The sequence below is a fragment of the Homo sapiens genome, chromosome 1 (assembly GCF_000001405.40).
Source record: "Homo sapiens chromosome 1, GRCh38.p14 Primary Assembly".
NCBI lineage: Eukaryota > Metazoa > Chordata > Mammalia > Primates > Hominidae > Homo > Homo sapiens.
This window is the reverse complement of record NC_000001.11, coordinates 169317692-169333684: the sequence shown is the minus strand read 5'-3', so window position 1 is coordinate 169333684 and position 15993 is coordinate 169317692. Positions and strand designations below refer to the sequence as shown.

The following is a 15993-nucleotide window of genomic DNA, read 5'->3' as shown; positions in this document are numbered from 1 at the left end:
AAGCTGTGTGATCTTGGCAAATTTCTTTTTTTTTAAAATATTAAATGTTTATGGGTACATAGTAGATATATATATTTATGGGGTTCATGAGATAGTTTGATACAGGCATGCAATGTGAAATAAGCATATCATGGTGAATGTGCTCTGTCCCCTCAAGCATTTATCCTTTTGATACATTTATCCTTTTGATATCCTTTTGTTACAAACAATGCAGTTACACTCTTTAAGTTATTTTAAAATGTACAATTAAGTTATTATTGGCTACAGTCACCCTACTCTGCTATCAAATATTAGGTCTTAGTCATTCTTTTTAATTTTATTTTTTTTGTACCTGTTATTCACCCCCACCTTCCCTACAGCCTCCCACTACTCTTCCCAACTTCTGATAACCATCTTTCTACTCTCCATGTCCATGAGTTCAATTTTTTTTCATTTTTTAGAACCCACAGATAAGTGAGAACATGTGATGTTTGTCTTTCTTTGCCTAGCTTATTTCACTTAACATAATGATCTCCAGTTCCATCCCTGTTGTTGCAAATGACTGGATCTCATTCTTTTTTATGGCTTAATGGTACTTCATTGTGTATATGTACCACATTTTCTTTATTCATCTGTTGATGGACATTTAGGTTGCTTTCAAATCTTAGCTATTGTAAACAGTGCTGCAACAAACATAGGAGTGCAGATATCTCTTCAATATACTGATTCCCTTTTATTTGGGTATATACCCTGCAGTGGGATTGCTGGATCATTTTTAGTTCTGTGAGAAACCTTCAAACTGTTCTCCATAGTGGTTGTTTTAATTTACATTCCTAACAACAGTGTACAAGGGTCCCCTGTTCTCCACATCCTCACCAGCATTTTTTATTGCCTGTCTTTTGGATAAGAGCCATTTTAACTGGGATAAGATGATATCTCATTGTAGTTTTGATGACATTTCTCTGATGATCAGTGATGTTGAACACCTTTTCATATGCTTATTTTCCATTTGTATGTCTTCTTTTAAGAAATATCTATTCAGATCTTTTGCCCATTTTGTAGCTGGATTATTAGATTTCTTCCTGTAGAGTTGTTTGAGTTCCTTAGGTGTTCTGGTTATTAATCCCTTGTCAGATTGGTAGTTTGCAAATATTTTCTCCCATTCTGTGGGTTGTCTCTTCACTTTGTTGATTGTTTTATTTGCTGTGCAGAAGGTTTTTAACTTGATATGATCCTGTTTGTCCGTTTTTGCTTTGATTGCCTATGTTTGTGGGGCATTGCTCAAGAAATTTTTGCCCAGACCAATGTCCTAGAGATTTTCTCCCATGTTTTCTTGTAGTAGTTTCATAGTTTGAGGTCTTAGATTTAAGACTTTAATCCATTTTTATTTTATTTTTGTATATGGCTGGAGATAGGGGGTCTAGTTTCATTCTTCTGCATATAGACATCTAGTTTTCCCAGCACCATTTATTAAAGAGGCTGTCTTTTCCCCAGTGTATCTTGTTTGCACTTTTGTTGAAAATGGGTTCGCTGTAGGTGTGTGGATTTTTTCTGGGTTCTCTATTCTGTTCCATTGGTCTATGTGTCTGTTTTTATGTCAGTACCATGATGTTTGGGTTACTATAGCTCTGTAGTATAATTTGAAGTCAGTTAATGTGATTTTTTCAGTTTTGTTCTTTTTGCTTAGGATGGTTTTGGCTATTCTGAGTTTTTTGTGGTTCCATATAAATTCTAGAATTGTTTTTTCTATTTCTATTCTTTGAAGAACGACATTGGTATTTTGATAGGGATTGCATTGAATCTGTAGATTGCTTTAGGTAGTGTGGACATTTTAACAATGTTAATTCTTCCAATTCCATGAACATGGAATAGCTTCCCATTTTTTTTTTGGTCTTTTTCAAATTATTTCATCAGTGTTTCATAGTTTTCATTGTAGAGATCTTCATTTCTTTTGTTAATTCTTAGGTATTTTATTTTATTTGTGGCTATTGTAAATGGGATAACTTTTTAAAATTTCTTTTTAAGATTGTTCACTGTTGGCATATAGAAATACCACTGATATTTGTATGATTTCGTATCCTGCAACTTTACTGAATTTATCAGTTCTAAGAGTCTTTCAGTGGAGTCTTTAGGTTTTTCCAAATATAAAATCATATCATCTGTAAACAAGGATAATTTGACTTCTTCCTTTTCAATTTGGATGCCCTTTATATCTTTCTCTTGTCTGATTGTTCTAGCTAGGACTTCCATTATTATGTTGAACAACAGTAGTGATAATGGGCACCCTCGTCATGTTTCAGATCTCAGAGGAAAGGCTTTTAGTTTTTCCCCATTCAGTATGATACTAGCTGTGGGTCTGTCATATTTGTCAAATATGCTTTTATTATGTTGAGGTATGTTACTTCTATATTCAGTTTTTTGAGAGTTTTCATCATGAAGGTATGTTGAGTTTTATCAAATGCTTTTACAACATCAATGGACATGATTGTATGGTTTTTATCTTTCATTCTTTTGATATCACATATCACATTGATTGATTTGCTTATGTTGAACCATCCTTGCATCCCAGGGATATATCCCACTCGGTCATAATGAATGATCTTTCTAATGTATTGCTGAATTCAGTTTGCTAGTATTTTGTTGACAAGTTTTGCATCAATATTTATCAGAGATATTGACCTGTAGTTTTATTTATTTATTTATTTTGATGTGTCATTGTCTGGTTTTGGTATCAGGGTAATACTGGCCTCGTAGAATGAGTTTGGAAGTAGTCCCTCCTCCTCTATTTTTTGGACTTTTCTTTACTGGGAGTCTTTATTATGGCTTTGATCTCATTACTTGTTATTGGTCTCTTTAGGTTTTGAATTTCTTCCTGGTTCAATCTTGGTAGATTGTATATATCTGGTTATTTTTCTGTTTCTTCTAGAGTTTTCAGTTTATTGGCATATAGTTGCTTGTAGTAGCCACTAAAGATTTTTTTAATTTCTCCAGTAACATTTGTAATGGATTTTATTTATTTATTTATTTAGAGACAGAGTCTTGCTCTGTCACCAGACTGGAGTGCAGTGGTGCGATCTCGGCTCCCTGCAATCTCCTCCTCCCGGGTTCAAGCAATTCTCCTGCCTCAGACTCTCAAATAGCTGGGACTACAGGCGCCTGCCACCATGCCTGGCTAATTTTTGTATTTTTAGTAGAGATGGGGGTTTCACTATGTTGGCCAGGCTGGTCTTGAACTCCTGACCTCGTGATCCTTTTGCCTCAACCTCCCAAAGTGCTGGGATTACAGGTGTGATCCACCACGCCCAGCCATTTTGACTTCTTAGTAGCCATTCTGACTGGTGTGAGATGGTACCACATTGTGGTTTTGATTTGCATTTCTCTATACGCCACAGTTACAGTGTTATAATATCCTGTGTTTTTCTGTGTACTTACTATTACCAGTGAGTTTTTTACCTTCAGGTGATTATTTGTTGCTCATTAATGTCTTTTTCTTTCTGATTGAAGTACTCCCTTTAACATTTCTCATAGAACAGGTCTGGTGTTGATGAAATTTCTCAGCTTCTGTTTGTCTGGGAAAGTCTTTATTTCTCCTTGATGTTTGAAGGATATTTTAACTAAATATACTATTATAGGGTAACAGTCTTTTTTTCCTTCACCACTTTAAATATGTAATGACACTCTCTCCTGGCCTGTAAAGTTCCCATTGAAAAGTCTGTTGCTAGATGTATTGGAGCTCCATTGTTTATTTGCTTCTTTACTCTTGCTGCTTTTAGAATTCTTTCTTTATCCTTGACCTTTGAGAGTTAGATTATTAAATGCCTTGAGGTGGTCTTCTTTGGATTAAATCTGTTTAATGTTTTCTATAATCGTCTTGTATTTGGATATTGATATCTTTCTCTAGGTTTGGGAAGGTCTCTGTTATTAGCCCTTTGAATAAACTTTCTACCCCTATCTCTTTCTCTACTTCTTCTTTAAGACCAATAACTTAGATTTGCCCTTTCCAGCCTATTTCCTAGATCCTATAGGTGTGCTTCATGTTTTTTATTCTTTTTTTGTCTCCTCTGTGTATTTTCAAATAACCTGTCTTCAATCTCACTAATTCTTCTGCTTGATCAATTCTGCCATTAAAGGACTCTGATGCCTTCTTCAGTACGCTTTTTGCATTTTTCAGCTCCAGAATTTCTGCTTGATTCTTTTTAATTATTTCAATCTCATTGTTAAATTTATTTGATGGAATTCTGAATTTCTTCTCTGTGTTATCTTGAATTTCTTGGGTTTCCTTAGCAGAGGTTTTTTTTTTTTTTTTTTTCAGGAAACACAAATTTTCATGAAATTTGAAAATTCAAACCACAGCATGACATTAAGAAAACACAAATATTACTTATCCAGAAGAAAAAGTGTTTTGAACTTTTTCATAAAATATTTAGGAACAAGGAAGTTGAAGCTTGGAGCGGTAGAGTGAGAAATAAGGAATATGTGGGAGAGAAAGTAAAGTGAAAAAAATTAGATCAGATTTTTTTTTTGTTGTTGTTAGCACTAAACTGGTTTGCTTCAGGCCCCTAGCCAGGGTTGATTTTGAAACCTATAGCAGAGCTATTTTGAATACTCTGTCTGAAAGGTCACATATCTCTGTTTCTTCAGGATTGGTCCCTTGTGCCTTATTTGGTTTATTTGGTAAGTTCATATTTTCCTGGATGATCTTGATACTTGTGGATGTTCATCTGTGTCTGGGCACTGAAAAGTTAGGTATTTACTGTAGTCTGCAATCTTGGCATGTTTGTACCCATCCTTCTTAGGAAGGCTTTACATGTATTTGAAAAGTCTTGGGTATTATGATCTAAGCTATATCTGCTTTAAGGGGCACCCTAAGTCCATTATAAAACTAATGATGAATGTGCAACAGATAGTGTTATAAAATTTAAAAAGAAAATTGTTACTAAAATTTTTATTGACAAAAACAGATCTATAACTGTTTGAACTCCCCAAAAGGTAAGAATTGTACTTTGGCTCTGATTTATTAATATGATATATCCTTTACAAAAAAATTTACCTAGTATTATATGTTCAATAGTTTTTATTTTCATTTATAAATATAATTTTAGTCATTTTTTTGTCCATCATAAATCCCTTTTTCCTTCATACTGATTTTTTTCTGCAAAGACCTTTAAAAAACTATTTACCTAGGGTTAGTTGCAGCTGAGGCTGCATCATCACAAATCCAGAGTTGCTCTTCTTGTATGTCAGAAAAAGATCAGTGAGGGAGATGAGTGTGTACAATGCAGTTCTAAAGTCACAGGTGGACCTATAAGCCACCATCATCGCTTTGGGAGACATAGGCAACAGAAATCCTAAGTGCTTCATGTAAACTAAGTCATTTAATCCCCAAAACTACCTTATGAAGAAAGTACTGTTTCCATTTTTCAAATGGGGAAAATGAGAGTTAGAGACATTAAGTCTTGCCCAGGTCTTTTGGACTCTCACAAATATTCCTCCATAATCCCCCCCTCCAAAAAACCCCTTTATAGTTTCCTGGATCTTCTCTTTAAGCAACACATTTCAGGGCCATGTCTCTTGCTGTAGGCTGCCAGCAAATGATAGCAGCAGTAGCACCAGCAGCAGCAGACTTATCAGATTGGTGTGCTCGTTGCACTCAGCATGCTAGTAGTACCAGGCCCAGTTGGTATTTGTTGATTGATGATCATAGTATCATCAGGAATGGAATAGCTTTCTGATCAGTATTATTGAAATGAGGCCAAGGTACAATTTTGCTTGGTAACATACGCTTAAACTTACTCTTGAACTGAGAGTTTGGATTTTTTAAAGTATATCTGTATGGAAAAGATTGTTAATTTCATATGATCCACTGTAAAGCTGGACCTTCCTTTAAACAGTAGCAGAGAGAGGTGGTGGTGTGATTTATTTCTCCAAAGACTTGTTTAATCTTCAAATATAATTTCACTTGCAATTCCAATATTGGTCAATATTTCCATAAAATCACCTATTTTTTGTTATAAAACTTATATGAATTTTACATTCCACTCAATAACATATATTTATATACACATATATGCATGTTGCAGTGTAAAAATTGTTTACGTTACTTACCATCGAGTAAGACTGGTGCTCTAGGAAAGTTCTCTCTGTATAGACAGAGACCTTAAGACTTTAAGATACTAAGGCTTCTGGGTATAATAATACCACATTGTCCAGTTCAAGTCACTTCAAGACTTCTGGTATAATAATACACATTTTCCTTTAAGACTTTAAGATTTCTGGAACAAAGTGTGATTATGTGTGAGGGATCAACTCTTTTATTATGTATAACTTATATTTAAAATGTTCAAAAGAGGAAAAATGATTTGGCTTCTTTAAGAAAGTCTCTTTTTGATGCAGTGTAATCTTTAAATGTTCCTCATAAAGTACTTTTGATAGAAGTTGGAATCTTCAGGGAAGAAGGAGCTAATGATTGTCTGTGTAATCATTAGGTTGTGGCATTCTCATCAGAGCATCTGTGACAGACAACTCAAGGTGTATCTATGTGCTACTAAAGTGTTAGTTTCTCTCTCTTGAGTTGGCCCTGGAAGGCTAGTGATATGGAAATATCTGAGTCATAGGAAATGTAGTTTCCAGTTTTGGCTCAGTTATTAACCAGCTCTGTGACCTTATGCTAGTCATTTATATTATCTGGAGTTCAGTTTCTTTATCCATAAAGTGAAGAGTTAAAACAAAATGATATATAGCTTTAATAGCATTTGAGGAAGGAAACCAAGTTCCTCCTTTTTTCTAGATTTGGCTCAACAAAGCTGAAAAGTAAATTTTCTTTAAATTTTAAGGGTGGCTTTGGTCTGGATGGTGTGTGTATGTGCATGTGTGTCAGGCAGGTAGTTGAAAGGCCAACCTCACTGTGATGTTTTATCCCAAGTCCAGATGTACCACTGTTATATCTCCAGGTACATCTTTTAACTCTAGGAAGTAAACACAGTTTTTACTGTAAAGGTAAACCAGAAAGTTAAGTTTAAATCAAGTTTGAATATAATTTGTACTTGGAGTAATAAACCTTTTCCCACAGAGGAAACAGCACTAGCTTGGGAGTTCGTTTCCAAAAGCTCTACTGAACAAGCACAGGTTTCAGCTCACTTTTGTACCTGTTTCTCTGTCCCTTGGTGGGCTCCCTCTACCAGCTTCTTAGGCTTCTCAGTCACTTGTCTGCTTGACTTGAGACTCAGCACATGTCTTACGAGTAAAGACAACGCAATGAATGTTGGTTTCACTTCAATGGGCTTCCTGTCTTTCTGGATCTTGGATCCTCAGATCCTGGCTGCCTTAAAAGCTCTCCAAATCTTTGATATCCTACTTTTCTAGTTGTTCTTAGAAGTAGCATTGGTTTGCTGTGAGCTACTTTGTCATAGCCAGAAGCAACAGTTCCTCAGTTTATTTTCTTTGTATTAAAACTCTTTTCTGGATAGAGTATAGTGCAAAATTCTGCTGCCCAATTCAGAATTAAAGAGTGTGGTTGGCAGGTTTGGTGGATAGGCTACATGGATAAATGGAAGTACCAGGTTTCGTGGATTTTTCATTTGCTTTAGTTAGATGTGTCATTTCTTCTATTTTATATTTATTTTAGTGAAGGCAACATTTCAATTATGTATTTAAATAAATATTTTATTATGGATAGTAAAAATTTTAATAATCTACTAATATTTAAATTTTTATTTGTAGGTGAGTACAATACTAGAATGCACAGTGAAACCTAAACTCAAAAAAGCTGTATTGTTATAATCAATATGAAAAATATATATGATGAAAGGCTTTTACAAATGTCATAGTATGTCTCTTATTTTACATTTATTTTCTCTTGAGTAATCAGCATGGTTTAAATATGTCTTTGGATGATTGTGGGAAAAATAAAAGTGTCTTAAAAATAAAAGTGTCATCTACGTTATAGTTTATGGATATATTATAAACATCATTAGACACACAACTTCTACCATTAGAATTTATAAGTCAATTATTAACTTAAAAAGAACCCCCAAATTTTCCCTAACCAGAGCATCAGATGGCAAATCCAGAATTAGCAATAAAACTCCTAGATTCCCTTCTTCCCTATGCTTTTATTTGCTTATTATAATGAAGATCTTTGGGGCGAGGGTATTTTTACTAACATATATGATGGGAAGTCCTGCTCAATAGTCAAGGGAAAAGGACCCATCTTTGACTTATTTTTTTCATTTTTTGCTCTCTGTGGTAGCCCTAAGAGTGTACTTCACAGACCTCCAACTACAGGCAACCTAAGTGACCAAGGGTCCCAGCTGCTGTTCTCTGAAATCCACTGCTGCTTTTGTGCTGAGCACTTGCTTCCCAAAGGCTGCTCCCAGCCACTGATTGAGAGGAGCAGGGATACTAAAGCTGGCCCCTCCCTGTCCTTGGGAGTCACCTGGCTCTAGCACTTCCTGATGGGCTTACAGAACCTTTCTTAGAGGGTGTAGCAATGTGGGATGATTCCACTTAACCTTCCTTGCATCTCTCCACCACTCTGTGTCAAACTTCTATTGTTTTTATCGGCTTTTCTAGTCTTCCTTGGCTCCCTCATCATTTTATATTACGGGAATTTTCCTTAATGAAATTCTTGTATGTTCAATCTTGTCTTCACATTCATTTTCAGAGGTCCTAGACTAACACATTCTCTATTTCTATAAAAAGATACTATCATATGAAATTACTAAGGAAAAAAAAATGTTTGCTATAATTTTAATGGTAATATTCTGATACTACTAGATTCTCAAATTTAGGGAAGTCAAAACTTCATATAATTGAGAGCTCTCCTCAGAAATTTATTCTTATATTAGTTTATTGATAGTCTGTATGTAAACTTGCTTTCAGAAGGACTGAATTGTTACAATAGTAAAATCAGGAGCTCATGTTCTCAGAAAACGTTAATTTACTCAGGATGATTAGATGGCTGTAAAGTAAAAAGCAATCCATAAGTCATCTTTGAGATATCTAAGGGTATTTAGTGAGAAATTGAAAGGAAATATTGCTGAGGGTGTGTTGATAACTGATACTTTGTTGAAAAGCAGAAACATTCAATATAATAGGTAGAAGTAATTTTGTTTCTTGCATATTGGTAATTTCATTTTGTGTGACTTACAGAAGAGTGCTTGTTCTTTATATGTTAGTGTTAAAATTCTTCTGTCTTTCTTTGCAGAATCATAGTGAAAGATTCGTTTTCATTGCAGAGTGGTATGATCCAAATGCTTCACTTCTTCGACGTTATGAGCTTTTATTTTACCCAGGGGATGGATCTGTTGAAATGGTAAATAAGCCTTTCTTTGCTTGAATGTTGGCAAAGGGGGTGAACATGGGAACCATTGCCTTTTATATAATTGCTTTTTAAAAACACATTTATATGTATGTGTGTGTGTATATATACATATGGAAATTCTTTTTAAACTTATTCATTATAATTCCAATATAAGAAGTTAACTTGTGCCTTTATTTTTAATGTCAAAAATAGGAATTTTTTGTTGTTGTTGTTAGAAGACTGAAGTGGGGGCTGGGCGCGGTGCCTCATGCCTGTAATCCCAGCACTTTGGGAGGCCGACCCAGGCAGATTACTTGAAGTCAGGAGTTCGAGACTAGCCTGGCCAACATGGTGAAAACCCATCTCTACTAAAGATACAAAAAATTAGCCGGGTGTGGTGGCACATGCCTGTAATCCCAGCTACTCGGGAGGCTGAGGCAGGAGAATAGCTTGAACTCAGGAGGTGGAGGTGGCAGTGAGCTGAGATCACGCCACTGCACTCCTGCCTGTCCTGCCTGGGCGACTGCATGAGACTCTTGTCTCAAAAAAAAAAAAAAAAAAAAAAAAAAGACTGAAATGGGATTATTCATGTTTTGGATAAGAAATAAACAAGTGATTATAGATAAGGATTATTATGGTCATAAATACGTCCTCATTATTGAAAGCTGTTATTGCTACAAAAAGTCAAATTGAAGAGGCTCAAGCTAAGAGACTTCTGTTTCTTTGTGTTCTTTCACTGGCAACACAATTTTAACAAGTAGATCTTTTTGGTATTGGGATTTTGTGTACACAAGAAAGCAGAAATTTGGGTGTATGACTCTTTCTTTAGCATTTTGTAAGGACTACTTTGCTGAAATGATTTGGTAATAAACAAATCTTTCTATTCAGGTTTTTAAGAGTATTAAATTTGTAATAAGAAGCTTTTATGTTATTACCAGATTGGATTAGGAAATATGGAAGTTATTAAAAATTATGATTTATATTTGTAACAAAAAAGAAACAGAATATAACCTATCTTTGATAAGACAGAATTAAGAATTATTTCTACCTTATGATGAGATTAACTTTCCTTATTCATAACTTTTTTTGTTTGTTTGTTATATTGTTGTGTCTGGTTCTAGCATGATGTAAAGAATCATCGCACCTTTTTAAAGCGGACCAAATATGATAACCTGCACTTGGAAGATTTATTTATAGGCAACAAAGTGAATGTCTTTTCTCGACAACTGGTATTAATTGACTATGGGGATCAATATACAGCTCGCCAGCTGGGCAGTAGGAAAGAAAAGTAAGAAAACAATTATATAATCTTTTTACATGCTCTAACTTTGGGTTCAAAGTCAATCTGAATCAAGACTGGGAGTATGTAACCATATGAGGATGGATAGGACCTGGAAAATGGTTGTCTTCATTCTTTTTCTTTTTTTCAATTTAAAAAAAAATTGATAATACCATAGTTGTGCATGTCTCATCTGACTTAATTCATGTTTATGTCTCCTGTGGCACTTAGCACATCTCCATCCACATTGCAAGCACCTTGTCTGTATTAGCTGAACGAATTAATGAATCACAATTTAAAATCTATGATCTATTCTTTCCTTTTTCCACTTTCTCCCTGTTTTCAAATGATGATCTTTGATCTAGTTGACCAGGAGGTTTTTGCCTAGATTGTTTGTAACTAATGCTGCCTATTGTCAAGTTTTGTTAACAGATATATATATATATATTTATATCTAATAGATGTTGACCAACGGATCAATTGAAAAATGACAATGTGAGTGTTGTAAAAAGGAAAAAAAAAAGAAACCATATAAAGAAATTATGATACAGGGAGACTGATGTATCTTATTCATAACTGTATCCCTAAAAACTGTTGTAGTGATACCTCAAACAGTAAATTATTCACAGAGTGTGACCCACAAAAGTTTGTTAAATATATGAATGAATAAATTTATGTCATCGAAATGTCTGGAGGTACGGTATGTCTAAAGGAAGAGTTTCCCACTGGCTGGCATCCCCGCCTCCCTATCTTCCTCCCACTGCATGTGGCTCTTTCTGTGAGAGAAACTGTGACATGGTGCCTCCACATGTGTCCCTGTTCTTCTCTCTATTGTTTGTCAAAGCTGCATTCATCATTCTTTTTCTCAGTTTTGATTTAGAAGAGATACAGTCATCTGTAAAAGGGGCTAAGAAAAAAAATGGAAGAGAAAGAACAACTTGTAGATACAGCTGAAAATTAGACTTATAGAAAACAAGAAAACAAGGATTTTTGATGTTTTCCTTCTGAATACTGATTTTCAGTATTAGCAAGATGACATTTTAATTTTCAGTCTCTACATTTATGAATTTCAACTTTCTGAGACTAGAATTAATTATATTTGAAGTGAAATTTTAATTCCTTTGTCATCTTTCTTGGCTTTAATTTCTGTAGCTTATACTTTGTATGGTTTGGGGAGTTTTTTTTTCCTGTAGAGTGATTGGTGCTGTAATTAAAATAGGGATTATTTGTAGAAGTTAAGGCTATATGTATAAAAGGCTCCAAAAATGATTTAATTCAATAGGGAAAACAAATCAATCAAACTATTTTTTGAGATCTACTACTCAAATGACTAGCTGATTGCCTAACGTCTGAGTCACTCTTATAGTAATATGATATCTCTTTCTGTGACTTCCATAGTCTTTCTGTATAAGCACTTTATAGCTCTTGAGGTGATTGGATTCTTAGTGTGGGTGTTAGTACACAAATGGTGATGGATCAGAGGGGTGGTGCATGCCTCATTAAAAAGGAAGACCAAAGACTCTCTTTGAAATAGGACAGAAATTTCAGGTATTAGATAAATAAATAGGAATCTTTTAATGTTATGAGATCTTATGTAAAAGTCTTTGGGATTAAAGAAATGCCAACCATAATTCCTTTATTTAAAACTCATAAATATGTGTAGCATTCATTTATGGAGCACATACTATGTGCCAGACACTATGATATGCACTTTACATACACCTCAGTTCAAGACTACTTTATTTTATTTAATTATTGTTATTTTTGAGGTGGGGTCTGGCTCTGTCACCCAGGCTGAAGTGAAGTGGCATGATCATAGCCCACTGCACCCTTGACTTCCCATGCTCAAGTGATCCTCCCATCTAAGCCTCCCAGGTAGCTGGAACTACAGCCATGCACCACTATTCCTGGCTAATTTTTTGGTATTTTGCTAGAGATGGAGTTTGGCCTTCTTGCCCAGGCTGGAAGACTGCTTTAAATTTTTATTTAAACTAGCAAAATAAGTGAGTTAGGGAGTCAGGGTTAACAGTCTGACCTAAGAAAAATAAAATAACAACCATAAAAATTATAATTTATGTATTTTAACTATGATTTGACTGAAGTGAATGTTGTTAAATCTATTTTATAGAATGGGTAAGTAACTTGTCCACAGTAACACAGCTAGAAAGTAAAGGGAAACCAGAAAACCGTGTTTTGTTTTTCCCTAAAATTCATTCTCTTTCTACTAAACCTCTAATTAATATGCTGGCAAATACTGTTGAATGGGACTGATTTTAAAACAGGATGAACAGAAGAATTCTATTTTAATGTAAAAACAAATTTGAAGTATTTGGGCTTTATATAGTTAATGAAAATGAAAATATATGTAGTATATATTTTACTGACTCAAATTGATTCACCATTTTCTCTTCTTATTCTTTCTTAATTGCATATGGGTTAGTAAATCCAACAACCATTTGGGTGATTTAAATAAACTTCTTCCAAACCGAAGAGTTTCAAAAATTTATTGTTTTATTTAAATGGCAAAAAGTAAGCATATGGAAATATGTGTGTATGTCTATCAGCGTTCCACAGAAACACCTTCTATGTAACAACCGATTTAGTCTAGTTCTCAGTTTTGTATAGTGTTGAGAAAAATTTTTGAACCAATTACATTTTCAACTCTTTTCTTTCTATAGTAAAGCCTGTAGTGAGGAGGATGAGTGAAATTGATCCCCATGGAGCCTATCAGCTAATTGGGGAGCAGTTATCCAGATAATTTAATATAATTCAGCTTAACTCATGAACTAGCTTCAGCTTTCCAATTCCCTTTGACTGTAGAAATCTGACATTTGATTCACATTTTTATCCTCTCTTTATAAAGATCCTCTAATCAAATGGATAAAGGTTACAAGTTGTCAATGAGTCAGTCTTTGATTTTAATTTTAGCTAGTAATTAATTGGTGCTTTATGATTGTTGTTTAGATTTGGAGACACGATACAATTTGTGTCTTTCTAAAAATTTATTACCTCAAACCAGAAATAATTAAAGTTTTCATATGATGAGTCAATATGTATATGTATGCATGTGTATGAATGATAGAGGAATTTTATATGAATAGACAGCTATTCCCCATGTGATAAGTGAGGTATTAAATGTTTACTTTGATAGCTTATATCTTTAGTAAGAAGTTTATAAAAATCAATGAAAAATAATGCTAGTATCCTATTTAAAAATCCATTAATTTTAAGTACTGAGCCACATATTTACATTGAGCAATCCTCATTCCTTTTGAGTCTCAGCCAGAAAGCAAGCCATCTAATCAAATTAAAGGGAGAAAGGCATCAGTAGGTTGGGTGAACAACATTATAGTAGATGTTAAATACATGAAATTCTTGTGCCCATCTATTAACTTTCAGTGAAAGGAAGACCCCCCTGTTTTTCAGAAGAAAAATTATGAAGTCAACTGTGTGTATAATCTTTGATCCCAAGGTCTAAGCCCAAGTTATTTGAGGCTCCATCACAGCAGGAACTCAGTCACAGTATGCATTTTCCTGTCCTCTTGGAGATGTACTGAAATGGTATATGGATAAAAAAACAAGCCGTATTTTAGATGAGACCTGTGCTTGGAAGGGGCTTAAGAATACTTCTCCCTGGAGGTAGGGAGATTGACCTAAATAACCTTTTGAACTAAATCACCTTTTGAATTTTTAAATACAGCCCAAAAATTCCAAGCATTTGCTTAATTGATAATTTTTTAAAAGGTACTGAAATAATACTTTATATGTTTTCTAGACTTATGTAGTTTAACAATTCTTATGGATGAACATACATTTTCTAATATTAGAATTTGACTCATATGAACTATACGTTTTTTCTATGTGAAGATTTGGCAGTATCATCAGATATATGTTTGAAGAAATTTCATTGGAAGGAAATGTCATAAAATCTTGGCTATATCAAGTTTGAAACAACTTCAGTGTTCAGGTATTATATAGTTTAGCAGGATTACAGTATTGGGATATCATAATGTATGAATGACTTAAAAGACATTTTAATTTTAATTAAAATTAAATTTAAAAATTAAATTAAAATTAAAATTAAAATTAAAATTAAATTAAATTTAATTTTAATAAATACAAAAAATGTACCTCTTCTGTTCTTCCATCCCAACTGGAATAAATTAAGTTTAGAATACTTTAAAAATTATTATTCTGTCTTCCCCTGGTTGTTATGGCACTTCACCACCGCTACCCCCACCGCTGCTTCCATCTCTATCTCTCTGGCTATTTTTTCTCAGAGTCATTCCTTCTCAGAGGCAAAAAAGACTCCTGGTATTCCCCAGGGTTCTGTTCATGGCCCTTTTTTTCTCATTCTATATACTCTCCCAGGGGATTCTATGTACTCCATGACTTCAACAATGTGTTGCTTTCCAAATTTATGTCATCACCCCAGCTGTAAAACCATATGTTTAAGCTTTTTCCTGAACGTTTCCATGTAGATTTTTCACAGGAACTTAAAAATCCAAAATTGAATTAATTGACAAATTCAAAATTAAATTAATTCTCTTTCATTGAAAAACCTACTTCTGTATGCACTAACACAATATTCACCTAATTACATACTTACAAAATTGGTGGCTGTCCTTGAGTTCCATATGTATTTTATCCCTAAATCCACATGGGGACCTAATCTTACCAATTTACTTGTCTCCTTCATAGATCTCTCTTATTTCTCTTCTCTTTTTTATCTTTTACATTCCTCCTTAAAACAGCTTCTTGTCATCTCTTGAGCTCAGTTAGTCTCCATTCTTCCCTCCAAATTACTAACTGATGAAGAACTAACACAGGAGATAGATGTAGATCAAAATATTAAGTATTAATTTTACTTAGGCTGTCTTGTGAAAGCGTGTTTGAGAATGGTTGAGGCTTTCTTTCTATTCCTATTTCCTCTATCCCTTACACTGATCTGGAACTTGAGGCCTGCCTGAGGAAAAGTTGGATCTACAGAACAAACTAAGGGCATACTTGCCCAGGGTTCTCATCCTGCCTCCCAGCCCATGGAGCACAGGAGAGAGAGCACTAGAGAGAAACAGGCTTCCACTGCAGGTGCCGGACTCTGATTCCAATGTGCTTAACATGTGAAAGCAGGAGAACAATACGCTATCCCTTACTTGTACACTATCCCCTACTTGAGGGTCTGCAGGTCTGAGAAAAAAGAGGTCGGGCCACAAATAACCAGAAACCCTTAAATATGGCCGGACATGGAGAAGCAAATGGAAGAAGTAGAGAGAGAGAGCACTTTCTTATGGGAACAGGGATAGAAGTTACTTTACTCATGAGGAGCAAGAGTACACATTCCTAGTTGTTTTCTGGGTTTTATACCTTTAAGCCAATTGGCTGCCATGCTCTAGTAGACTATGGCTACTTCTCGGGGAACAGACCAGATGAATAT

General features: G+C 34.5%; 1 protein-coding gene across 3 annotated transcripts in view; it reads left to right on the top strand.

The window, feature by feature from the left end:
• NME7 (NME/NM23 family member 7) overlaps positions 1-15993 on the top strand; it is a 235267-nt gene that overhangs the window by 34113 nt on the left and 185161 nt on the right. For 2 of the 3 annotated variants that reach the window (NR_104229.2, NM_013330.5), the window contains exons 2-3: positions 9185-9292; positions 10402-10568. Coding sequence is in view for 2 of the 3 variants with exons in the window: in NM_013330.5 (NP_037462.1) it covers positions 9185-9292; positions 10402-10568 (275 nt within the window). In the remaining variant the exon portion in view is untranslated. The remainder of the gene's footprint in view (positions 1-9184; positions 9293-10401; positions 10569-15993) is intronic. The other variant, NM_197972.3, reaches the window with a different exon arrangement.